This window comes from Homo sapiens, chromosome 2 (genome assembly GCF_000001405.40).
Source record: "Homo sapiens chromosome 2, GRCh38.p14 Primary Assembly".
Lineage (NCBI taxonomy): Eukaryota > Metazoa > Chordata > Mammalia > Primates > Hominidae > Homo > Homo sapiens.
Window position 1 is genome coordinate 218,527,795 of NC_000002.12, and position 26,736 is coordinate 218,554,530.

Sequence of the window (26,736 nt, forward strand, 5' to 3'; positions counted from 1 at the left end):
TGAGATACCACCCAAGGCTGAATATACCTAAATATATAATATCAAATTCTTTACCTTAATCATTTTATACAAATAACCAAGATGTTTTTAACACTTTGAATTAAATTCTATTAAGAACCAAATATGGGCTGGGCGCGGTCACTCACACCTGTAATCCCAGTACTTTGGGAGGTCAAGGCAGGCACATCATGAGGTCAGGAAATCGAGACCATCCTGGCTAACACAGTGAAACCCCGTCTCCACTAAAAATACAAAAAAAGAGCTGGGCATGTTGGTGGGCGCCTGTAATACCAGCTACTTGGGAGGCTGAGGCAGGCTAATCACTCGAACCCAGAAGGCAGAGGTTGCAGTCAGCCGAGATTGCCCTACTGTCCTCCAGCCTGGGCGATACAGCGAGACTCCATCTCAAACAAACAAACAAACATATGACTTAATAGGTCATTATATAGCATGTATATTATAGACTACCATTACCCTCACTTTTTTTTTTTAATTATATTTTAAGTTCTGGGATACATGTGTACAATGTGCAGGTTTGTTACATAGGTATACACATGCCATCATGGTTTGCTGCACCCATCAACCCATCATCTACATTAGGTATTTCTCTTAATGCTATCCCTCCCCTAGCCCCCCACCCCACGACAGACCCCGGTGAGTGATGTTCCCCTCCCTGTGTCCATGTGTTCTCATTGTTCAACATCCACTTATGAGTAAGAATATGTGGTGTTTGGTTTTATGTTCCTGTGTCAGTTTGCTGAGAATGATGGTTTTCAGCTTCATCCATGTCTCTGCAAAGGACATGAACTCATCCATTTTTATGGCTGCATAGTATTCCATGGTATATATATGCCACATTTTCTTTATCCTGTCTATCATTGATGGGCATTTGCCATTACCCTCACTTTTTACATTTAAAACCATCAACCCTTCTGTGCTGCACTGCATGATCACATGTTCTCAACAAGTGCTTAGCAGGTATCTTATGTATTTATACCCAATAAATCTGAAAAAAAAAAAAAAAAAAAAAAAAAAAAAAAAAAAAAAGAGCTTATCTATAGAATTGGCAATTAAATATCCAACTAGCCTTTTCCAATTTATTAATAAAAGACATTCACTGCTGTAATACAGCTTTTGATTTTTAAGGGAAATTCCTAAATATTTAAAATGTAGCTTAACAAATACAACAGCAACAAAAGGAAAATAAAAATGCTTCAGAGGAGAGATCTTAGTATGTTCATCCACATGGGATGGTAGAATATATATTGGTCTACAGTCTGATAATATTGTCTGTCGCAATCTATGGCATCACTACAAAACTTCCCAGAGCCAGGTTTAAGAGCACCTCCCAACTCAGCCTCCTAAGTAGCTATCACTACAGGCACACGGCACCATGCCCAGCTAATTTTTAAAAAATTTTCTGTAGAGTGGTCGGATGCGATGGCTCACGCCTATAATCCCAACACTTTGGGAGGCCAAGAAAGGCAGATCACTTGAGGTCAGGAGTTTGAGATCAGCCTGGTCAATATGCTAAAATCCTGTCTCTACAAAAATTAGCGTGGTGTGCTGACAGGCACCTGTAATCCCAGCTATGTGGGAGGCTGAGGCAAGGCTGCAGTGAGCCAAGATAGCACCACTGTACTCTATCCAGCCTGGGTGACAGGGCGAGACTTGGTCTCAAACAAAAAAAAAAAAAAAAAAAATTCTGTAGAGGCCAGGAGCAGGAGCAGTGGTTCAACACTTATAACCCTAGCACTTTGGAAGGCTGAGGTGGGAGGATCGTTTCAAGTCAGGAAATTTGAGACCAGGCTGGGCAACACAGTGAGATCTTGTCTCTTTTTTTTTGAGACAGGGTCTCGTTCTGTTGCTCAAGCTGGAGTACAGTGGCATAATTATGGCTCATTGCAGCCTTGATCTCCAAGGCTCAAGTGATCCTTCCACCTCAGCCTCTCAAAGTGCTGGGATTACAGGTGTGAGCCACTGTGCTCAGCTCATTTCTAGAATACTTTCTAACTAACATGTCAGGATTCTATGAGTCTCGTCAATTTTGTTAAATTATCATATTCACTTAAGAGGATAATACATAACCTATCCAATCATTCAATATTCTGAAAAAAAAAGAACTCCTAAGTTTTTCACAAGTAATATAACCAATGCATACCTGTCTAAGTTAGTGCCACCAGAAGAGTGTTCCTTGGATCCAGCTCTGCTACCATAAAAGGATGATGACTGTAAAGGTAAAAGCCCTATAAAACAAATGAACAAAGGAAAAACTTAATTCCTAAATCAACCATTCAAGTTCATTTAATAATAAAAGTATACATTAGTCCTGATTATATTTAACTCTTTTTCCTTCTCATCAAATACAGGAATACCTCATTTTATTGCTCTTTGCTTTATTGTGCCTCACAGATATTGCAGGTTTTTTTGTATGTTTTTTTTTAAACAAATGGAAGGCTGTGGCAACCCTGCACCAAGCAAGTCTATCAGTGCCATTTTCCCAACAGTATACGCTCGCTCACTTCATGTCTATGTCACATTTTGGTAATTCTTGCAATGTTTCAAACTTTTTAATTATATCTATTACAGTGATCTGCGATCAGTGATCTTTGATGTTACTGTTGTCACTGTTTTGGGGTACCACGAACTGCACCCATATAAGACGGCAAACTCAATTTATCTGACTGCTCCACCAAATTGTCATTATTACCCCATCTCTGTCTCTCTTCTTGGGCCTCCCTATTCCCTGAGACAATATATTGAAATTAGGATAATTAATAACCCTACAATGACCTCTGTGTTTTTAAGTGAAAAGAAGAGATGCACATCTCCTTTTAAATAAAAATCTAGCAATAATTAAGCCCAGTCAGGGAGGCACGTCAAAAGCTGAGACAGGATGAAAGCTAGGCCTTTTGCACCAAACAGCCAATGCAAAGGAAAAGCTCTTGACAGAAATTAAAAGTGCTACTCAAGTGAACAAGTGAATTACAAAGCAAAACAACCTTATTGCTGATGTGGAGAAAGTTTTAGTGGTCTCGGCAGAAGATCAAACCAGCCACAATGTTCTCTTAAGCTAAAGCCTAATCCAGGGTAAAGGTCTAGTCTAACTCTCTTCAATTCTATAAAGGCTGAGAGAAGCAGAAGAAAAATGTGAAGCTAGTAAGAGCTGGTTCATCAGGTTTAAAAAAAGAAGCCATCTCCATAATATAAAAGTACAAAGTGAAGCAGCAACTACTGATATTAAAGCTGCAGCAAGTTACTGAGATCTAGCTAAGATCACTGATGAAGGTGGCTACGTTAAACAACAGGTCTTCGATGTAGCTGCAATAGCTTTATATTGGAAGATGCCATCTAAGAGTTTCGTAGCTAGAGAGAAATCAATGCCTAGCTTCAAAGTTTCAAAGGACAGGCTGACTCTCTTGCTAGGCGCTAATGTGGCTGAGGACTTGAAGCTGAAGCCAATGCTCACTTACCATACTGAAGATACTAGGGCCCTTAAGAATTATGCTAATTCTACTTGCCTGTGCTCTAGAAATGGAACAACGAAACCTAGATGACAACTCTTCTGTTCACAACATGATTTAATCAATATTTTAAGCCACTACTGATACCCAATGCTCAGAAAAAAAGATTGTTTTCAAAATACTACTGCTCCTTGACAATGCACCTAGTAACACAAGAGCTCTGATGGAGACATACAAAGATAATGTTGTTTTCACGCCTACTAACTCAACATCCATTCTACAGCCCATGGATCAAGGAGTCATTTCAATTTTCAAGTCTTACTATTTAAGAAATACATTTCAGAAGGCTACAGCAGACAGTGATCCCTCTGATGGAGCTAGGCAAAGTGAACTGAAAATCTTCTGGAAAGAATTTATCATTCTAGATACCATTAAGAACACTTGTAATTCATGAAAAGAGGTCAAAATAGCAACCATAACAGGAGTTTGGAAGTTGATTCCAACCTTCACGGATAACCTTGAGGGTTCAAGACATCAGTGGAGATGCAGTCAACTGCAGATATTGTGGGAATATCAAGAGAACTACAAGTGGAGCCTGCAGATGTGACTGAATTGCTGCAATCTCATGATCAGACTTTAATGGATGTGGAGTTGCTTCCTACGGATGAGCAAAGAAAGAAGTCTCCTGAGATGAAATCTAATCCTGGTAAAGAAACCATGAATATTGTTGAAGTTACAACATAGGATTTAGAATATTACATAAATTTAGTTGAGAAAACAATGGTAGTGTCTGAAAGGACTGATCCCAATTTTGAAAGAAGTTCTGTGGGTAAAATGCTATCAAGCAGCATCACATGCTACAGAGAAACCTTTCATGAAACGAAGAGTCAATCAGAGATGTGACAAATTGTCTTAAGAAATTGCCTTGGCCGGGTGCAGTGGCTCACGTCTGTAATACCAGCACTTTGAGATACTGAGGCAGGCGGATCATGAGGTCAGGAGCTTGAGACCAGCCTGGCCAATATGGTGAAACCCCATCTCTACTAAAAATACAAAAATTAGCTGCATGTAGTGGTGTGCGCCTGTAGTCCCAGCTACTCGGGAGGCTGAGGCAGAAGAATTGCTTGAACCCAGGAGGCAGAGGTTGCAGTGAGCCGAGGATCGTGCCACTGCACTCCAGCCTGGGCGACAGAGCAAGACTCTGTCTCAAAAAAAAAAAAAAAAAAGAAAGAAAGAAATTGCCACAGCTGCCTTAGCCTTCAGCAACCACCACCCTAATTAGCAGCCAACAACACAGAAGACCCTCCACCAGCAAAATGATTACAACCCTCTGAAGGTTCAGATGATTGTTAGCATTTTTTTGCAATAAACTATTTTAAAATTATGACTGGCTGGGTGCAGTGGGTCCTGCCTGTAACTCCAGTACTTCGGGAGGCTGAGGCAGTGGATCACTTGAGCCCAGGAGCTGGGGACCAGCCTGGGCCATACGGCAAAACCATGTCTCTACAAAAAATACAAAAAATTAGCTGGGCATGGTGGTGTGCACCTGTAATCCCAGCTACTTGGGAGGCTGAGGTGGGAGACAGCCTAAGCCCAGGAGGTCAAGGATGCAGTGAGACAAGATCACACCACTGAACTCCAGCCAGGGCGACAGAGTGAGACCCTATCTCAAAAAAAAAAAGGTACTTTATTATTATTTTTTTTTTAGACATAATGCTATTGCACACTTAACTGACTCCAGCATAGTATAAACATAACTTTTATTGCACTGGGAAACCAAAAAATTCATTCTTGCTTTTTTGTGCTATTAGCTTTATTTATGTGGTCTGGAACTACATCTGCAATATCTCTGAAGTATGCCGGTACACATGTATGTTAAAAGATAAAATACCGTGAAAGAAGCTATAATAGCAAAGCTACCCTCTCCTGCCCCCAAGTTCCACAAGTTGTACTTCTATTTTTTAACGATTTAAAAAAACTTTTTTTTTTCTGATTTCTTCAACAGTGCTAATAACATTTCTACTACTTCTTGATTTACTCATTTTAAACAGTATCAATTGACTCTTTATTGTAGAAAATTAGTATCACCCCTACTCTTGTTCTCCTCTCTCCAACCATTAGTAGTGTTACTTTAGTTCTTCCACCGATTAACTCTGTAACTTTAACACATTTAAAACATCTACGTTTTGTTCCATTAATCTTGTCATTTGGCCATGCACTTCCTTCTCTCCTCCACATCAAATTTTGTGAGATGTACCTTAACTTCAGCATTGTTAAGGCTTATTACAGCTTATGTTTTCTGTTTTTTAACTATAGGCTGATTATAAAAGCTGAGAGACAATAAGCAGAGTTTATATCTTCTAAATATTATTATTTCAGAGGTAAGACTTACATGTGATATTTCTTTCTGTAGGAGTCAATGTCACAATCCCAAACCACTAAAAGAAGAATATTCCTAGGGTCCTGATCAACTGGATTCTCTTAAACTATCAATTTATCAAAATCATGCCATATTTTAGCTTACTTCAAGTTAAAGTTGACATAATACTCAAGTTAATACCAGATAACGGACTCTCTAAGGATTTCAGAGAATCGAACAGATACGTTAAGTGTGGGAAACATCTGACAAAAATGTTTTTGTAAAAACAGGGTAGAAGGTTAAGTTTAAAAAACTGCTTCAGACAATAATTTCAAGATCTTCTGAAGCTTCTAATAAGCACTAACACTGATGCACTTTAATTTCAACCACTTTACTCCTCTAATTCATTCTATGGTCCTGGTACTTTGACAATGAAACAGCTTAATTCTAGGCAGTCAAATAGGGGAAGAATAAGGTAAAGACTGGATTCTTTATAAACAGAATACAAATTCCCTGGATTTCTAATACTTTAAAATATTTTAGCCAAGTACTGGGTACAAATTGGCACCCAATAACTAACACCAGATTAGGCCGGGCATGGTGGCTCCCACCTGTAATCCCAGCACTTTAGGAGGCCAAGGCAGGTGGATAACTTGTGTTCAGGATTTTGAAACTAGCCTGGCCAATATGGTGAAATCTCGTCTCCACTAAAAATTCAAAAATTAGCCAGGCATGATAGAACACACCTGCAGTCCCAGCTACTTGAGAGGCTGAGGCAGGAGAATCACTTGAACCCGGGAGGCAGAGGTTGCAGTGAGCCGATATTGTGCCACTGCACTCCAACCTGGGCGACAGAGCAAGACTCCGTCTCAAAAAATATATATAAATAAATAAAAATAAAAAGAATGTACAGATGGGTTAGGTTTTTATTTCTAATCTAATAAATATATAATAAATGAGCACCTTATTTATTGTAAGATCAAACACTTACCTGATGTCCTATTCTCTTCTGACTGTTTCAAACTCAGCTGCTTTTCTCTACTGCTGGTTAAATACTTTCTGGAGGGATCTGTCATGGCCTTGTTGTTCCTATAGTTAATAATTTTACATCAATATAGTACAGGTGTATAAAAATATTGTTCTTAATTTTAAATAGTTGTCATTAAAACATTTACATTTAAAGTGCCAAATTCATTGATATGCTTGAAAATTAAGCTACAAGATTGTTAGTCTCAAAAGGTCAATGACTTAAACAAATGAAAATTACAAAAATAATCTTTAATTACTATCTCAAGAGCCAATCCAATCCATGACTCTGATAACTTAGCAAAAGTAAAGGAGCATTTTTCTTTATATAAAAGTCAAATCAGAGACAGCAAGATTATTAGATTTTCTTGGCCAAAAGCAAGACCAGATAAAATGATTCAGCTACTAAGACCAAAAGAATCAATTAAAAAGTAAACTGTGGCCAGGCGCGGTGGCTCACTCCTGTAATCCCAGCACTTTGGGAGGCTGAGGCGGGCAGATCGCGAGGTCAGGAGTTCGAGACCAGCCTGGCCAACATAGTGAAACCCCGTCTCAACTAAAAATACAAAAATTAGCCAAGCATGGTGGCGCGTTCCTGTAGTCCCAGCTACTCGGGAGGCTGTGAGGCAGGAGAATCACTTGAACCTGGGAGGTGGAGGTTGCAGTGAGCCGTGATCGCGCCACTGCACTCCAGCTTGGGCAACAGAGTGAGTCTTAGTCTTAAAAAAAAAAAAAAGTACAATGTTCAAGCTTGGCAGTTTATAGGTTTACAAAGAAAAACAAATCAGGCTGGGCGCGGTGGCTCAAGCCTTAATCCTAGCAGCTTGGGAGGGCGAGGCGGGCGGATCACCTGAGGTTGGGAGTTCGAGACCAGCCTGGCCAACGTGGGAAACCCCATCTCTATTAAAAATACAAAAATTAGCTGGGAGTGGGCTGGATGCAGTGGCTCACACCTGTAATCCCAGCACTTTGGGAGGCCGAGGCAGGTGAATCATGAGGTCAGGAGATCAAGACCATCCTGGTTAACACAGTGAAACCCTGTCTCTACTAAAAATACAATAATTAGCTGGGCGTGGTGGCGGGCACCTGTAGTCCCATCTACGCAGGAGGCTGAGGTGGGAGAATGGCGTGAACCCGGGAGGCGGAGCTTGCAGTGAGCCAAGATCGCGCCACTGCACTCCAGCCTGGGTGACAGAGCGAGACTCTGTCTCAAAAAAAAAAAAATTAGCCAGGCGTGGTGGCAGGCGTCTGTGATCCCAGCTATTCAGGAGGCTGAGGCAGAAGTATTGCTTGAACCCAGAGGCAGAGGTTGCAGTGAGCCAGGGATCACGCCATTGCACTCCAGAATGGGTGACAAGAGCGAGACTTCATCTCAAAAAAAAAAAAAAAAAAAAAAAAAGGAAAAGAAAAATCAAAATCAAAACTGTGTATTCCACATGAATAGCAATACTATTTGCTAAGCAGCAACAGCATTTTAATTTATATTGATTAAAATTCTTTAGGATCATGAATACAAAGTTAAAATTTCTTTTAAAAGCCCTTTTCTCCCCTGTATTATTTTCAAATACCTCAACCCATATAAGTAGAGAGTGTCCATTCAAATAAATGTTCATGCTTTAACAGTGCTAATTTAAGGGGAACCATCATGAACTAAGCCTGTGGCAGACAATGCCTAAGTGTGCCCCACCTAGATTCCCACTGACTCATTTTTATATTCTCTCTTCCATATCTTCACACCAACTTATGTTTTTGATAGCCAGTACCAAGGGCTCTTCTTCACAGGACTGCCCTCAAGTTACTAGAGATACTTTGCCTGTAATCTCAGAGTCACAAACAAGGCCGGGCGCTACAGTAGAGAAGCCCAGCTCTCCTGATTTGGATTAAAACAACTTTATGGTGGAAGCTACATAACAGATTTCTGTAATATCAGGATGAAGACTAACCTTCATGTCCTTGTGTGACTTCTCCAGGATCACATCCATGCTTTGTTTCCTGCCCTTAACTATATTGCTTTCCTTACTCCCTTCACTATCTTCTCTGGGAGTACTTCCTTAGTAATTCACATGCACACTAATCTCCATTTCAGATTCTGCTTCTGGGGAACATAATCTACAACAGCTGGTACTAAAAGTGGGCCTAGGAAGCACACTCTAAGGATAGGATTCTGGAATTGGACCCTTGTTTGGCAATGGCAACAGAAATTCTGTTGCTGATAGTAATACCTCTGACATCTTATAGTGTTACAATTGCTAAGATTTTCACCTATGGTGAATTAGGATGAAATAAGGTAGAGAAGGATAGGGCTCACGCAGTATCTCCAGTATTTTAGAAATGTGGTAGAATGATTACACAATAGATCGTATTGGGGTAATGGAAATGTTCTGAAACTAGATAATGATGACGTAATATAACTAAAAAAATTTACTAAAAATCATTGACTTATATACCCTTAAAATGGGTCAATTACATGGTATGTAAATTGTAGCTTAATAAAGTTGTTTTTAAAATGTCGCAAATTATTTCACTCCCTATATTCAAGCTTCTAATCAATAAATTCAGTCTATTTCTTCATCCCTTAATGGGGCTAGTCCTGTGATTTCCTTTTCCCAAAACAATGTGACAGAAGTTAACAGTGTGTGAGTTCTGACCCTAAGTCTAAAGGTGCCCTGCAGGTTTCCACTCACTCTCTTGGAACCCTGCCACTGCTATGTGAATAATCCCAGGCTAGCCTGTTAACAGTGGAAGACACATGGCCCAATCACGCCCACCACTCAATGGCCAGTTATATGAGTGAGGCCATCCTAGACCAGTCAAACTCTAGCCAAACCATCTACTGACTACAGAGGCGTAACAAAATTAGAATCCAGGTACTATGAGCCAAACTGGGCCCAGATAAACAGAACCACCCAGGTGACCATAAATTCATAAGCAAAAATGAATAGTTACTATTTCAAGTCACTAAATTTTGGAGTGGTTTGGATACAGCAACAGATAAGATGTAGGTGATATCAGGTAAATAATCATCAAAAAGACTATGGAATTGACTGGTTGATGCTGAGTATTTATGTGTTCAAGAGAGAAGACAGGCTCAGTTGAGCCAATTACCAACTTAAAGGACAAAGACAATGTGTAGAGTCACCCACAGGAGAGTTGCAGCCCAGACCTTGTAAAGCAAGACCATGCTGTCTGCAGCCAAAAATTATACCTCATCTGTAAAGTATGGCATACTACTCTTGGCATATTATTAAGCCCTGGAAGAGACAGAGCATCTGACTGATGGTCATCAAGGGACTGTGCAACCAGAGCTAACCATCAGGAGCTAAGTGCTATCACACCCATGAAGTGATAAGACCAGGAGAGTACAACAGCAATTCATCATAAAATGGAAGCAGGTATATTGGAATTGGGCCCAAGTAAGAAAGAGATGACAAGAACAAGCGTTAGGGGCATTTCCTACATCAAGCTGAAACGAGGAATAAACCTGGGCCTGATTAATGGATAGGTCATCTTGGTACATTGGTACAAACTGCAAATAAACTACTGTTGCACTATAGTCCCACTAGGGACTGCCTTGAAAGACAGTTGTGAGGGGAAATCCTCCATTGTGCAGAGCTTGGAGGGATGCATCTCATCATCTACTTTGTATGGAGAGAGAAGTGGGTCATGGACTCCTGGGTTGTGGCAAATGATTTGGATAAATAGGGGCTTGGAACGAGCAAGCCTGGAAGATTGGAAAGAAATGATTTATGGAAGAGGCATATGGACAGACTTATGGGAGTATGTACAAAGAGTGATCTGTTTTACATGTTAATGCTCACCAGAGAACAACACTAAAGAGACACTAAACAATCAGCAGGATAACTTGTCCAGTGCATGTCAGCCAGCCTCTGTCCTTAGACATTCCGTTATTTCCACAAAGGGACCATGAATAACGTAACAGCCATGGTGGCAGATAGAAGCTATAAAAAATGGGTTCCCCTTCACCAAGGTTTATCTACTGTGGCTGCTGAATGTCCAGTTGGTTAACAGCAAAGACTGAGACCCTGATCCAAGGGCATCCCTTGAGAAAACCAGTCATTTGGTAGCATATTGATTATGTCAGATTTTTTCCACACTAAAAAAGACAGCAATTAATCCTTATTGGGACTGACAATATTCTAGATACAGTAGTTCCCCCTTATCTTCAGGGTACATGTTCTAAGACCCACAATGAATATGATGGAATTCACAGATAGTACTGAAACCACAGATAGTATAGAACTCAATTGCCAGCAACTGGAACAAATTCTGTTCATGTCTTCCACTCACAAATTTAATGCTACTTTATTTTATTTTTATTTTTGAGACAGGGGCTTGCTCTGCTGCCCAGGCTGGAATGCAGTGGTGTGATCTCGGCTCACTGCAACCTCTGCCTCCCAGGCTCAAGCCATCCTCCCACCTTAGCCTCCCAAGTAGCTGGGATGACAGGCACATATCACCACACCCAGCTAATTTTTGTAGAGATGAGATCTTGCTATGTTGCCCAGGCTGGTCTTGAACTCCAGGACTCAAGCCATCCACCTGACTCTGCCTCCCAAAGTGCTGGGATTACAGGTATTAGCCACCGTGCCCGACCTGCCCTTTCCATTCTAACTAAGCAATTATCCTGTACTGTGGCTGCACTTTTGCAGTTTGAGGTGCAACACAAAAAGTAACATACATTTTTGTTTTTCCTTCTTCACAATTTCATGGATGGAAGATTCATTCTTACCATAGATCTTCGCAACCACAGCATAAGATTCTTTTTATTGGCCGGGCACAGTGGCTCACACCCGTAATCCCAACACTTTGGGAGGCTGAGGCGGGCAGATCACTTGAGCTCAGGAGTTTGAGACCAATCTGAGCAACGTGGTGAAACCCCGTCTCTACAAAAAATACAAAAATTAGCTAGGCACGGTGGTGAATGCCTGTAGTCCCAGCTGCCTGGGAGGCTGAGGTGGAAGGATCGCCTGAGCCCGGGAGGCGGAGGTTGCAGTGAGCTGAGATTGTGTCACTGCACTCCAGCCCAGGTAATAGAGCAAGATTGTCTCAAAAAAATAAAAAACCTGGCCGGGCGCAGTGGCTCATGGCTGTAATCCCAGCACTTTGGGAGGCCGAGGTAGGCGGATCACGATGTCAGGAGTTCGAGACCAGCCTGGCTAACATGGTGAAACCCCATCCCTACTAAAAATACAAAAATTAGCCGGGTGTGATGGCACGCACCTGTGATCCCAGCTACTCAGGAGGCTGAGGCAGGAGAATTGAGTGAAACCAGGAGGCAGAGGTTGCAATGAGCCAAGATCATGCCACTGCATCCCAGCCTAGGTGACAGAGTGGGACTCCATCTCAAAAAAAAATCTTTTTTTTTATTTCTTTGTTGAGAGCTTTTACCTTTTCACTTAAAGGAGGCACTTTACAGTTTCTCTTTGGCACATCTGAATTGCCAGCATCACTACTGTCGTGCTTTGGATAATCATTAAGTAATATAAGGGTTACTTAACATAAACACAGCAATACTCTCACAGTTGGTCTGATAACCAAGATGGCTATTAAGTGACTAATGGGCGGGTAGCATATACAGTGTGGAGCCACTAAACGAAGGAATGATTCACATCCCAGGCCAGATGGAATGGGACAGCTCAAGGTTTCATTGTGCTACTCAAAACAGTGCACCATTTAAAACCTATGAATTAGGGCCAGGTGCAGTAGTTTTTGCCTATAATCCCAGCACTTTGGGAGGCCAGGTGGGAGGATTATTTGAGGCCAGGAATTCAAGACCAGCCTGGGCAACATAGCAAGACTGCATCCCTATAAAAATAAAAATAAAAATAGCCAAGACTAGCCAGGTATGGTGGCACATGCCTGTAGTTCTATTTGGGAGGCTGAGGCTTGACTGCTTAAGCCCAGGAGTTGGAGGCTACAGTGAGCTATGACTACACCAGTGCACTCCAGCCTGGGCTGGAGCAAGACCCTGTCTCAAAACCAAAACAAAACTTATGAATTATTTATTTCTGGAATTTTCCATTTAACATTTTTGGACCAAGGTTGACCATAGGTAATTGAAACCACAGAAAGTAAAATCATGCATAAGGGGGGACTACTATATACATTTGCCTATGCTGTCTATGGTGCCTTGACCAGTATTACTATCCAAGGACTCATAGGAGTATCTCATTCACTAACAAGAAAACTCACATAGTATCTTAGAACAAGGATTCCACTTTGCAGAATAGGAGGTACAATGACAGCATATGACCACAAAGATCCACAGTTCCTACCACATACAGTATTACCCCAAAGCTGCTGGCCTGATAAAGTGCTGCAATACCCTTTAAAAGTGCAGAATGAAGAGGATCTCATTAAGAATGGGGTGGCCTTCAAGATACCAATAAATCATTCCATTTGTAAAAAATATATGGGTCCAGCAACCAAGAAGTAAAAGCAGGAGTAGCCCCATTTGCCATTATTTTTCAATAACTCACTTGGAGAATTTGTGCTGTCTCTCCAAATTAGATTTTGTGGGTCCTAGTTCCCAGAGGGGGTGCTTTTTAATCAAGGAGGACAGTTGAAGAACAATTAAACCTGAAGTTATGGCTGTTACCTAGCTATTTTGAGCTCCTCATGCAGGCAGATTCATAGGAAAGAAAAGGAGTTACCATACTGGCAGGGGTAAATGACTATTGTAAGGAAGACGGGTTGCTGCTATATAACGAGGGCAGTGAGGAATTTATATGGTATAAAGGGGATTCACTAGGGTGCCTCTTAATGCTCTCATGCTCAGTGATAAGCATAGCTCTCATGTAATTATAATGGGCAATCACAACAACCACAGTCTGACAAGCACATGGTGACCAAAGGCTCAAATCCCTCAGATGAAGATCTCGGTAATGCCATTCAGTCAAACTATCAAGATGAGCAGAAGTGTTAATAGAGGATGCATGGAATTGATGGTAGGAAGAGATGTCAATATGGGTTACAGCCCTAAGACCACCTGCAGCAACACACTGTGGTTAATCCCACTAAGCCTCCTTTTGTAAGATTCTTCCCCAGAAGTGGGAAGCAACAATATGAAGAATCCATGACAAAATGGAATAAACTTAATACAAGACAGGAGTCAATATAAACGGTACAAGCTAGGGGAAGGGGGAACTATAGTACCAACTCTTTTAGTGGACAATGGTGACGCTCCATCAGAGTCTCTAAGATCCTTTTTATCCTTTACACACCCCTAGACTGTGTATTTTCAATGTGGTTCACCAGTCAGCATCTGCAGTTCTTCAGAGGACTGCATTTAACTACTTAAAACATTTTGCCCACCTGGACAGAGCCAGAGCAACTGGTAACCAAAGATGGTCCAGTATGGAAATAGGAAATCCCAGCCTCCCTGCCTCAAGCTAGAACAACCCAAGAGTTTCCCTGCTAGATCAAGACGAAGCCTATTCTCTGTGGTACTTTTACCTGAGATCACACTCTTGCTTGGCTTCCTCTTCTTCTCTGGCCTGCTTCTCCCACTCTGTTATTTGTCTCCTCTATAAGCACTGCTTTAAATGTCATTTGCACAAGTATATTCATCTAGGTCAGCTTCTAAGGAGTGCAAACTTAAAAAAAATCTAGATGTGATGGTGTAAAAGTATTAGTAACCCAGAACAAGGATCGGTAACCTAGTGTTTAACAGACAGACTTCTAATTGGAACAACTGGGACTTCCCAAAAGTGTAGTGAACATGCTAGACTGGCATGCACAACCACATTCTGGTGTACCTCCCTGATGTGCAGAAACAAGAATGCTAATAAAGTAACCCTACATTTCTTAGTTAGTGTTCTGGATCAGATTTAAAATAAGGCAATTACATGCAAGATCTGGGAAGTGTAAATAAGGCAGAAGCATTACCATTCCACTATTTCTGATGCTAAATATCACCTTGGTTTTTCTATACAGGGTTTCCAATATTGGCAGTGACAGCACGGTTCTAGAGAGGACAGCTTTCATGATAGATTCCAATTCAGCTGTTAGCTTCATGATAGAATAGCTGGGAGCATCTTTGGTGATCTGGTTTGAGGCAAACCTCTCAAAATCATTCCTGAAAACTTAACTTAAAGCCTGTCTTTTCAACTGTCCTAATGATTCTGTAAGCCGTTTAATACTTATTGTGTGCAAATACCTTTGTGCATAAACTCGCTAGAGTGAATTTTGTTCCCTTCAACTAGACCTTGAATATACAAAATTTGTTATTAAAAGTAGGGTGCTACCATAACAAACCTAAAACATGTAGCACTGGCTTAGTAAGAGGATAGGGAGGTACGAATACCGATATTACAGATTAGAAAGGTGATGACCATTTTATGCCTTAGTAAAATATTTGATAAAAACGGTCATATTAATGTCTTGAAAGGCAGATCTCATACTCACTGAACCTATAGCTCTACAGTAAAAGATTACAATTAAGGATACTGGTCTGTGTTAGTGCTTCTTATTGCTTTCAACAAGGTCCTATTTGAGACATATAAATTTAGGCCAAAGCTAATCAGCTTGCAATCAGTGATGAAAAGAAACATAGTGGACAGGCATGGTGGCTCATGCCTATAATCCCAGCACCTTGCGAGGCCGAGGTGGGCAGATCACCTGAGCTCAGAAGTTCGAGACCAGCCTGGGCAACATGGTGAAACCCCGTCTCTACTAAAAACACAAAAATTAGCCAGGCATGGTGGTGCACGCCTGTAATCCCAGCTACTTGGGAAGCTGAGGCAGGAGAATCACTTGAACCCAGGAGGCGGAGATTGCAGTGAGTCGAGATGGCACCATTGCACTCTAGCCTGGGCGACAGTGCATGACTCCGTCTCAAAAAAAAAAAAAAAAAAAAAAAAAAACAGGACAGGCGTGGTGGCTCATGCCTGTAATCCCAGCACTTTGGGAGCCTGAGGCAGATGGATCACGAGGTCAGGAAATCAAGACCATTCTGGCTAACACCGTGAAACCCTGTCTCTACTAAAAATACAAAAAATAAATTAGCTGGGTGTGGTGGCGGGTGCCTGTAGTCCCAGCTACTTGGCAGGAGAATGGTGTGAACCCAGGAGGCAGAGCTTGCAGTGAGCTGAGATCACACCACTGCACTCCAGCCTGGGCAACACAGCGAGACTCCGTCTCAAAAAAACAAAAAACAAAAAACAAACAAAAAAAAAAACATAGCTCTCTGTGCCAAGAACCTAGAATCAAAATTGTCTGGTAATTTGAAACCATGGGATAAAAATATCCAATTGCTTTTGATTCTCAAACTGAGGCAGTGGTAAGAGTTAACTAGAGAGTCAGTTTTGTAGAAAGTAACTTTGATATTAATATTAGCAGAAGCTGGGTAAGGGGTATACAGGAACATTCTATGTTATCTTTGTGACTTTTCTGCAAATTAGATTATTTCAAAATTAAAAAGTATATTAAAACAGGCCAGGTGCAGTGGCTCATGCCTATAATCCCAGCACTTTGGGAGGTCGAGGCGGGCAGATCACTTGAGGTCAGGAGTTCCAGACCAGCCTGGACAACATGGTGAAACCCTGTCTCTACTAAAAATACAAAAATTAGCTGGGCGTGGTGGCACACGCTTGTAGTCCAAGCTACATGGGAGGCTGAGGCAGTGCTTCAACCTTGCTTGAACCTGGGAGGTGGAGGTTGCAGTGAGCTGACATCGTGCCACTGCACTCCAGCCTGGGTGACAGAACAAGACTCCGTTTCACAAAAAAAAAAAAAAAAAAAAATATATATATATATATATATATATAGAGAGAGAGAGAGAGAGAGAGAGAGAGAGACCCCAATTCTTTCTCAAGCCTGCTTGTTTTACCTTTAAAGAATCTTTAAACTTGGATGAAGCAGGCTATAAAAGCTATATGGCCTTGATGAAAAATATAGTCTTCAAAATCTATTTTGGTGGTAGCCTTTAAAGAAAACAAACAAGGAAAATCTGCCAGAGGGCAAAGCCAGGGGTCACATGGAGTACAATGGGCAAGGGGGTTTCTCCCAGACAACAGAATCAGACTGCTAGATGGGCTAACCAGGAACTTATTCCAACGCCTTCACTGTCCTCAGAATTTCCACCTAGCAAGATTTTATCACTGCTATAGACCCAAGACCCCTCCAGTTTCCTATTCTTGTCTATTTTAAACAGAAATTTTTACTGTGATTATTCTGTTCCTACTCCAGCAATGTATAATGATGTGTGCATGAGGTCTGGAGTGGGGAATGCAAATTAACATGCCTTTTAGTTTTTAGGTACCAGACCATGAGGGGCATGGTCCAAGGTACATTTAGACCTTCTAGAGAAGACCGCACCCAGAGAGAAAGATCACTCAAAGATCCTAGACTCTGAGCTGGATACAATGTTCTCATGAGATTTGGAGTTCTTCTCCATTTGGATAGAGATAAGGGTGTTCTATGTATGGAAGAATAGTGAACTGGGTTATTTCAGTGGCTGTAGGGGCAAACTAAGGCAGACTATTAGTTGTATTAGTTGTCCCTAAATAACCACTGTACGCTTTTGCCACAATAGTTGAAATACAGGCATATTTCCCAGACCTTCTCATAACCTGATATAACCATGTGATTAAGTTCTGGCCAATGTGATATGCACAAAGGTGGTATATGCAATTTCCAGCCTAAGGAAACAGCATGCCCTCCCTTTGCTCTCTTCAACTAATAGAAATGGAGACAAGAAAGTAGAGACTGAAGTGGCTACCTTGGTCCACAAAATGGAGGCTGCTTATTAATTAAGGATGGCAGAACAACAAGACAGAAAGAATCTGAGTCCTTGGTGATTATAGTTTCAGATACCAGTCCTACCACCTATTCAGACTTTTACATCTATTACAGCAGCAAATCAATTAATACATAAAGTTTCTTTGGCTTTTTCCCAACTCCTTTCTAGTGACCTCTTGACCTCAAGTACCAATTAACTGTCTACCAACTGATTCTGTTAAGGTATTAATTGAGATTTTAACTGATAACTGTATAATTAGTTTTCTCCCCTAGAAGACAAAAAAAAAAATCCTCACAAAATGAGGACGATGATTACGAGTTGGCGAGCACCCTGGGTTGATCTATTCCCTTTTGTTCAACCCAGAAAACATCTCTGAAAGATTAATGCTACTTGCCTAGAACACATAGGCTCACATCCTTTAACCTCTAGGCTGACTTTTTACATGAGTAAAATGAAAAAGTAAAAATTTTTTTTTTAATTAAGCATAAAGAAGACAAGAAGGGGTTCACACTAAAACAGCAGCCAGCAAGAAACATTTGTTTAGAGTTCTTCAGTTCTATTCTCCCACTAAGTACTGCAGATTTAAGAAAAGGCAGGATAAGAGAAATGCAATGAAATGACCAAAGCAATAGCACTGGCTAATTTCCCTCTCTATTGAGCCTACAGTCTACTGTCACCAAACTACTTTACATTCTGCTCTTCCATCTTTGGAATTCTCATAAATTAAAACCATTTCCCCAATCTTCCCCAGTGGTTACAAATACCAATATAAGAAACACTGCTCTAACACTATAAAGGCCCTTAAAGTAACTTACGATGATGAATCATTTTCCTTAGGGTAATCTTCATTCAATTCTGAGCCAGTTGATATCATTCTTTTCCTCTTTTCAGTACTACAGAGAACAAAGAAAAGGTTACTTTTAAAAAGCCACAATTCATATCACAAAAATTCATAAATCAACATACTGAAGGACAGGAAATGGGACTACTATTATCTAATTCTCTACACCATATTTAATTATTATTATTTTCCAGACAGTCTCGCTCTGTCACCCCAGTCTGAAGTGTAGTGACATGATCTTGGCTCACCGCAACCTCTGCCTCCCAGGTTCAAGCGATTCTCCTGCCTCAGCCTCCCGAGTAGCTGGGACTATAGGCGTGTGCCACCACACCAGGCTAATTTTTTTGTATTTTTAGTAGAGAAGGGTTTTCACTATGTTAGCCAGGATGGTCTCAATCTCCTGACCTCATGATCCGCCCGCCTCAGTCTCCCAAAGTGTTGGGATTACAGGCGTGAGCTATCACACCTGGCCCATATTTAAATTTATATGCTGTATATTTGTATGCTTAATACATGTCACTGACATAAACTACATATGACAAATACTTGTAATCATTACATCTACCAAAAATGTACTCTATACTTTATTTCTCCTCAAATTACTGGTATTTCTAAAAGGCCTAAAAGACATTTACAGATACAGCTAGTGACTAAGAAAAAAGTCTCTCCTACCGATTTTCTAGCAACCCTGATCTAAGAGGTGTTGAAGTAGATGTCAAAGAAGGAATCGTCCGAGCTATTCCACTTCCTGCTACAGTCTTAATCGATCCTCTACCCGGATTACCAAGAACTTTTCGAAATGGAATATCATCTTTAGTTTCCAAACTTCCTCTTTTTGCAGAAGCCTGTAAAAATAAAGTTTGAGATAGTTAAATCTTCAAATTAACTGGAATACTTTTAGAACAGTGATTCTCCAATGGAAAGGTTTAAAAAATACAAATGGAGCCAGGTGCGATGGCTCATGCCTGTAATCCCAGAAAGCGAAGGCGGGAGGATCACTTGAGCTCAATAGTTTGAGGTTATAGTGAGCTACAACTGTACCACTGCAATCTAGCCTAGGCGACAGAGCAAGACCCTATCTCTAAAAAAAGGAAAAAATACAAATGGAGATACATCTCTAGAGATTCTATTCTAGTTGATCTGCGGTAAGGCTCATTCATCAGTTTTGTTGTTGTTGTTGTTTGTTGTTGTTTTTAAAAGCACTCCAGGTGATTCTAATGTACAGTCAGTGTGAAAAATTGAGCTTGACACTTATTTTCCTATAGCATTCTTATAAACTTAAAAACTCCACAGCACACCTGTTGAGGGGGCAAGAACACTGCTTTGAATTACTAACCAAAAAAAAAAAAAAAAAAAAGACACACACAGACATGGCTCTAGTGATCAGCATGGGAACTGATCTTTGGAGGAAAAAAATATCTAATTATGATTATGACAAGTTAAGAAAAGGTGACAGTGACATTTGGTTGCCACAACTTAAATGCCAACAAAACAGTCATGACTCTTGAGAGGGTTCTAGTTTGGAGGAATGAAACATATGATAGGGAAAAGGAAGGTGAGATAGAGTTCAATATGAAGATGAATCAAAGAGTCTACCCTTAAGACATGGCAAGAACACTCAAAGAGAATATGGCAATGTAAGCATTAGCTGAGAAATACAGCTTTACATGAACACTCTGCCAGTTAAGTTTTATATCTCTACATTAAGAGCTATGCGATTTTTCTATAGAAGTTATGTCCTATTACTTTTGTTTTACAGAATTACAATCCTAGGATAGGAAATTTTAAAACTTCTAAGAGCATCTGAATGAATACTTTAAAAAGTTAAACTTATTTTCAAATGAGTGATATATTCTCAAGGTTCACAAATCAAAGTAATATTAGAAGCCACAGACCAATGATAAGTCTCACTATGACCATCCACTCAGTTCTTCCACTTCCCCTTTTCCCACTAATTCTTCCCTTGTTCTGTTATGCAAATACAAATCAATATTTTACTTTTTGTTATACAAACAGTAGCATACTACATGTCCACTGTTTTGCAACTTTTTCAGAATTTTGAATATTATCCCATCCCATAGTAACAAATATATATATTACATATATATATTTAAGACAGAGTCTTACTCTGTCAACCAGGCTGGAGTGCAGTGGCACAATCACTGCTTCCTGCAGCCTTGACTTCCCAGGTTCAGGTGATTCTCCCACCCCAGTCTTCGAAGCAGCTGGGACTACAGGTGCACACCACCATGCCCAACTAATTTATGTATTTTTTTTTGTAGAGACAGGGTTTCACATGTTGCCCAGGCTGGTCTCAAACTCCTGGGCTCAAGGAATCTGCCCACCTCAGCCTCCCAAAGTGCTGGGATTACAGGAGTGAGCCACCACGCCTGGCCGCATAGTAAGAAATATTTTACATCAAAACCTATTATAAATATGTATAAATAAACCAAAATAAAAGTTTGAAAAATCAGTATTTATCCTTAATATGTACAATATTCTCTATTATTTTCTATTCTACTTTTTAAATTTAATGTTAGTTATGACCCACAAAATTGAATTTATGACTCCACTAACGAGAATTACTACTTGTGAAAGCATAAATACTTGCTTCTGCTATATGTGTTAACACTTATGCATTTAAATAATATTTCAACAATTTAAATTCCAAGGAATGTATGAATCTCAAAATAATTATGCTGAGGGAAGCCAGACCCTGCCCTCCCAAAATTACACGCTCATTCCATTTATATAAAACTCCAGAAATTACAACCTAATCTATAGTGGGAGAAAACATATCAGTGGTTGCTTCTGGATAGGGATCAGAGGGAAGGATTACTAAGAAGAATAAGAAATCTCAAGAGTTATGGTTATGTTCACTATGTTGATTATGATGACGATTTTAAGGACATATGTAAGTCAAAATATATCAAATTGTACTTTAAATATACACAACTTACTGCATGTCAATTATATCTCAATAAAAATGTCCCCCAAAAATCTAACCTATAAAAAGAACCTGACAAAAATGAAATCTTATTCATTGCTTAGTCCAATAAGTGGACTAAGTGATCACCTCTTTGCACAGCCAAAGAGAATTCATAAATTTACTTACAGAAAAGCTTCAAAGTTTCTCTTACTCTATGGTTTGGAATGATACCTAAATGAAATGATACATTTCAGGTATGCAGAAATACCCTTGATAGTCTATGACTATCTTTTTTTTTTTTTTTTTTGAGATGGAGTCTTGCTCTGTTGCCCTGGCTGGAGTGCAATGCCATGAGCTCAGCTCACTACAACCTCCACCTCCTGGGTTCAAGCAATTCTCCTGCCTCGGCCTCCTGAGTAGCTAGGATTACAGGTATGTGCCACCACGCCTGGCTAATTTTTCTATTTTTAGTAGAGATGGGGTTTCACCATGTTGGCCAGGCTGGTCTCAGACTCCTGACCTCGGGTGATCCACCCGCCTCGGCCTCCCAAGTGCTGGGATTACAGGCGTGAGCCACTGTGCCTGGCCAACTATCATTTTTTTTAAATGCTAAAAAGATTCAAATGAACATACCTGATTGTCTGAGTAAGAAAGCTGCCTGCTGGTTTCCTTCTGTGAGGTCCTGCTGCCCAGAATGGCTCCAAAACTACCAGACCCCTGAGACGGTTTCATGGCTGGTGACCAAAAATATAATTTTTTTTAAAATCCCCAAATCACTCACTTTAACAAAAAGATTTATCATTATTATTTTTATATAATATTGAAGAAATGGACGAAACAGCAGGCAAAAAAGAAAACAAATCAAAGTGCCTATCAACCAATTCTTTCTGACAGAATATACATCTTATATAAACTAAAATTTAGAGCTAGAATCTGAAGCAAAAAATTAAGTAACACATATACCTGAAAACATTTAATAGAAGGCTAAAATTTACAAAGCAAAAAAAAAGCTAGAATAAACATTTGGTAATTATATTAATAACACTATGGAAAAGTCATTGTGTATCAACAACATGAACACTGACACTGGATGTCAGAAACAGTGACAGTTGTATCTCCAATAACATATACTCCAAAACATTCTCTACAGGTAAGTTTATCCAGCAGAATAAATGGCTTCTATTCTGAAGAAACTAATGGTAGTTCAAGGAACATTCAAGGTATTGTATAAATATAAATTTGCATATACTTTTAAAAATATTTTATAATTAATTTGGTTAGCCAATTTCCAACTGATGACCATTTGAAATGTTTTAATTTTTCAAAGTTGCAAACAATGCTTAACATCCTTTCACAAACCTTTTTGTAGGAAAAACTCCTTATAATAAGAATTACTGAGCGAACATACAATTTTAAACTAAACTGACATTATTACAGTCCTCAAAAAAAAAAGAAAAAAGAAAAAAAAAAAAAAACCTCTATGCTCCTACCAAGTATATGAGAGTATCTTGCTTCCCCTCACACTGCTACCAATGTGGTAGTAGGAATCTGAGTTTGGTGAAGTCGAGAATTTTTTCATGTGTAAGGGCCATCTATTTTGCTTCCTGAATTCTCTATTTGCAGTTTTTGTCAATTTCTCTACTAGTTTTTTTTTAATTGATTTGCAAAATAGGTCTTTGTATATTAGCAATATTAACTTTGTCACTCTGGCTACTATTTTCTTCCTTTGTCTTTTGTTCCTTGCCAGATAGACTGTCTAATTTTTTAACACAAGTTTTCAATCTTTTTCCTTTATTAATTCTAGTTTTTATGTAACACCCAGAAAAGTCTTTTCCATCCAGAGATTATGTTAAAAGTACTTTTTACAATACTTTTATCATTTTTTTTTACATTCAAATCTTTGGTCACTGGAGATAAGGATCCAAGTGTATTAACTTCCTAAATGGTTAGTTGTCTTGTTTATGGTTAACACTTTATCAAATATTAGTCTTTTGTCCACTGATTTGAAATGCCATGCTTATATTAAATGCTTTATGCTGTTCAAAGTATTTTTATTCATTATTTTGCTCTAGTCTCTGCAAAGTATATAATAACCACCTTTGGGCAGCTAAAGCAACTAAACCTGAGATTAAAATAACTTGCCCAAGATCACAGAATGAATTAAGAGTTAAGCCCACAGCTAGCTATTCTAATAACGCCAATGACTTACTGAGTGCCTAGCATAGGGAAGTCATACTTTTACATTTACGAGCTCTCATTCTTTAAGAAGCCCTGAAATCAAGGTGATACTTTCATGTTAGAGATTAGGAAATTAAAATTCAGTCACTAAGTGACTTACCTAAAACCACACAGAAATAACAGGCAGAGCTAGAATTTCAACCTACATCTATTTATGGCCAAAGCCCATATTTTTTCATTATGCTATGTTGTTCAATATTGGTCCCCAGACAGTATATTGTGCTTTCCACTCCAGTGGATTTGAAGACATGCTTTTCTTACACGTATCAATTGTTAAAACAGTGATTCCATTAATATGGGTAAGATGAAATAAAACTAAAACAGAGATATAAACTAGCCTCTGACATATTCTAAGAATTTTAAATAGTATTCAATTTCTTGATTCTTTTTTTTTTTTGAGATGGAGTCTCACTCTGTAGCCCAGGCTGGAGTGCAGTGGCGCAATCTCGGCTCACTGTAACCTCTGCCTCCCGGGTTCACGCCATTCTTCTGCCTCAGCCTCCCAAGTAGCTGGGACTACAGGCACTCGCCACCATGCCTGGCTAATTTTTTGTATTTTTAGTAGAGATGGGGTTTCACCGTGTTAGCCAGGATGGTCTCGATCTCTTGACCTCGTGATCCGCCCACCTCGGCCTCCCAAAGTGCTGGGATTACAGGTGTGAGCAACCGTGCCTGGCCTCAATTTCTTGATTCTAAAATTCAATAGTTTAGTAAATTGATATGCTCCAATTTGGTGGCATGAACATATAATGAGTAGGTACTAAATGGCAAACAATCATAAAAAGCTTTTATTTTACAAGAATACGGTGTCGAATGGAGATACTAATTAAAGGTAGTACTGCTACACCTTCATTTTCTGATGTTTTTAATGTGTCATATTTAAGTTGAAAAAATTCAAGTAAGTTTGTCAACTACAAAATAGAAGTAATAGTAAAATGTTGAAGATGACAGAGCTAAAGACTAATGTGATAGTAGAGAACTCATTTTAAGCAGAGATTTTTTCCTAAAAAGATGGCTGTAGGGCCAGGCAGTGGCTCACACCTGTAATCCCAGCACTTTGGCAGGCCAAGGAAGGTCAATCGCTTGGGCCCAGGAGTTCGATAACAGCCTGGGAAACAGAGTGGAATCTTGCCACTGTACTTCAACCTGGGTGACAGAGTGAGACACTGTCTCAAAAAAAAGAAAAAGAAAAAGAGAAAAGAAAAGAAAAGAAAAAGTGCCTGTAAATGCATTAAAAGAAAAAAAAACCACTATTTTAAATGAAAGGGGTTAGAGGGGGCAGAGGAACCTGATCATACCATGTGATTTTTTTACAGGACTCATTTTCCACAGCAAGAGTAAAACTTCAGAATAATTTTCATATAGATAGGTAAGTGTCTAAGATTTATGCAACAAGGTAACTTTTCCCAACTGTAATTTAAATCCTCCTCCCTGGTGGAGGTTGCAGTGAGCTGAGATCACACGACTGCACTCCAGCCTAGGTGTTAGAGCAAGACTCCATTTCAAAACAAACAAACAAACAAACAAACAAATAAATAAATAATAAAAAATCCTGCTCCTTTGTCTAATCATATTGTTTTGTGGAATCTACATATAAGATCAAGTCATCTGCAAACACAAATAATTTTACTTCTTCCTATCCAATTTGGATGCCTGTTATTTCCTTTTCTTGCCTAATGGCTCTGGCTAAGACTTCTAGTACTATGTTAAATAGAAGTGGCAAGAGCAGGTATTCCTGCCTTGCTAATGATCTTAGAGGAAACATTTCCAGTTTTTCACCCCTAAGTACGATGTTAGCTGTAAGTTGTTGCATATGACCTTTATTACGCTGAGTCGTTTCCTTCTACTCCTAGTTTGTTGAGTGTTTTTATCATGAAAGAGTGTTGGATTTTGTCAATGTTTTCATCTGCAACAATTCAGATGATCATGTGGTTTTCGTCCTTCATTTGTCAAGAATGATGTGTTACACAGATTGATTTTCATATGGTGAACTATCTTTGAATTTCAGGAATAAATCTTATTTGCTCATGGTGTATAATCCTTTTAATGTGCTGATGAATTCAGTTGAATATTGGTCTGTAGTCTAGTCATAGCCTTGTAAAAATACTAACGTTAGACCCTGGGGTGATTAGTACTCACCTGCAGGAAGTCTGTTTTGATGGACTGCATCTAGAAACAACCTCATTTCCTCTGCATCCTTACTTGGTACTTTGTCAATAGACAAGAAGCTGTTATCTTGCAGAGTTAACATTAGGCGGCTTTGTTTCGCTCCACTGGGTCGAAGCACCACATTTTTAATGTTATGACTTAGCTAATCAAGACAAAAGGAAAATTATCATCAAAAATGTATGACAACTAAGTATAACAATCTGTATAATAAATACTAAACTTTATACTTTCCATGTTACATTTATCACTCTTCCCCACAGTAATTTAATTTTTTTCAACCAAAAGAAGTTCCCATTTCTTGATACATTTAAATTAAAGATTTACCTTTTAGGAGATGCAAACACATGCAATAAGCCTTTAATTATACAGAGATCTTGCACCAAGGGTAATAGAGAAGGAAAAATAAAGAATTGTTTTAAAAAAGCCCTTAATGAATGTTGTCAATAGGTTCTTGGTACTAAATGGCAAACAACCATGAAAACTTTTTATTTTATAAGAATATTGTGTCAAATGGAGACATTAATTAAAGGCAGCACTGCTACCCCTTCATTTTCTGATGTTTTTAATGTGTTAAACATTAAGCAAAAGGACATATAGCAGGTCCTCAAATAACATCATTTCCTTCATTATAATGTTGATGAGGAAAAAAACTAGTTTCATTTCTTAGTCACAGTTTTCAAGAACCAACTGACAATATAAAGTGTGGACTTACTCTTCTACTAAAATTAATTTTACGGAACAATCCTAGAACTCTTGATCTCATGGTAGGGAATCCCTTATTTTCAGATATAGTTATAGAGGATAAAAACTACTGAGTTAACACATTTCAGAACCTTGGACGGTTACATTATCACCAGTTTAGAAAACCAAATGGAAGTAGAAAGCCAGGTGCCATGGCTCATGCCTGTAATCCCAGCACTTTGGGAGGCTGAGGCAGGCAGATCACCT

At 39.4% G+C, this 26,736-nt stretch overlaps 1 protein-coding gene across 1 annotated transcript in view; it reads right to left on the reverse strand.

The window, feature by feature from the left end:
• The window catches only part of USP37 (ubiquitin specific peptidase 37), a 118,101-nt gene that overhangs the window by 77,544 nt on the left and 13,821 nt on the right, over positions 1 to 26,736 (reverse strand). Inside the window, exons 5-10 of the mRNA NM_020935.3 lie at positions 25,759 to 25,930; positions 22,015 to 22,115; positions 19,125 to 19,297; positions 18,427 to 18,504; positions 6,815 to 6,912; positions 2,162 to 2,246 (exon numbers count right to left, since the gene is read on the reverse strand). Coding sequence (NP_065986.3) covers positions 2,162 to 2,246; positions 6,815 to 6,912; positions 18,427 to 18,504; positions 19,125 to 19,297; positions 22,015 to 22,115; positions 25,759 to 25,930 — 707 coding nt within the window. The remainder of the gene's footprint in view (positions 1 to 2,161; positions 2,247 to 6,814; positions 6,913 to 18,426; positions 18,505 to 19,124; positions 19,298 to 22,014; positions 22,116 to 25,758; positions 25,931 to 26,736) is intronic.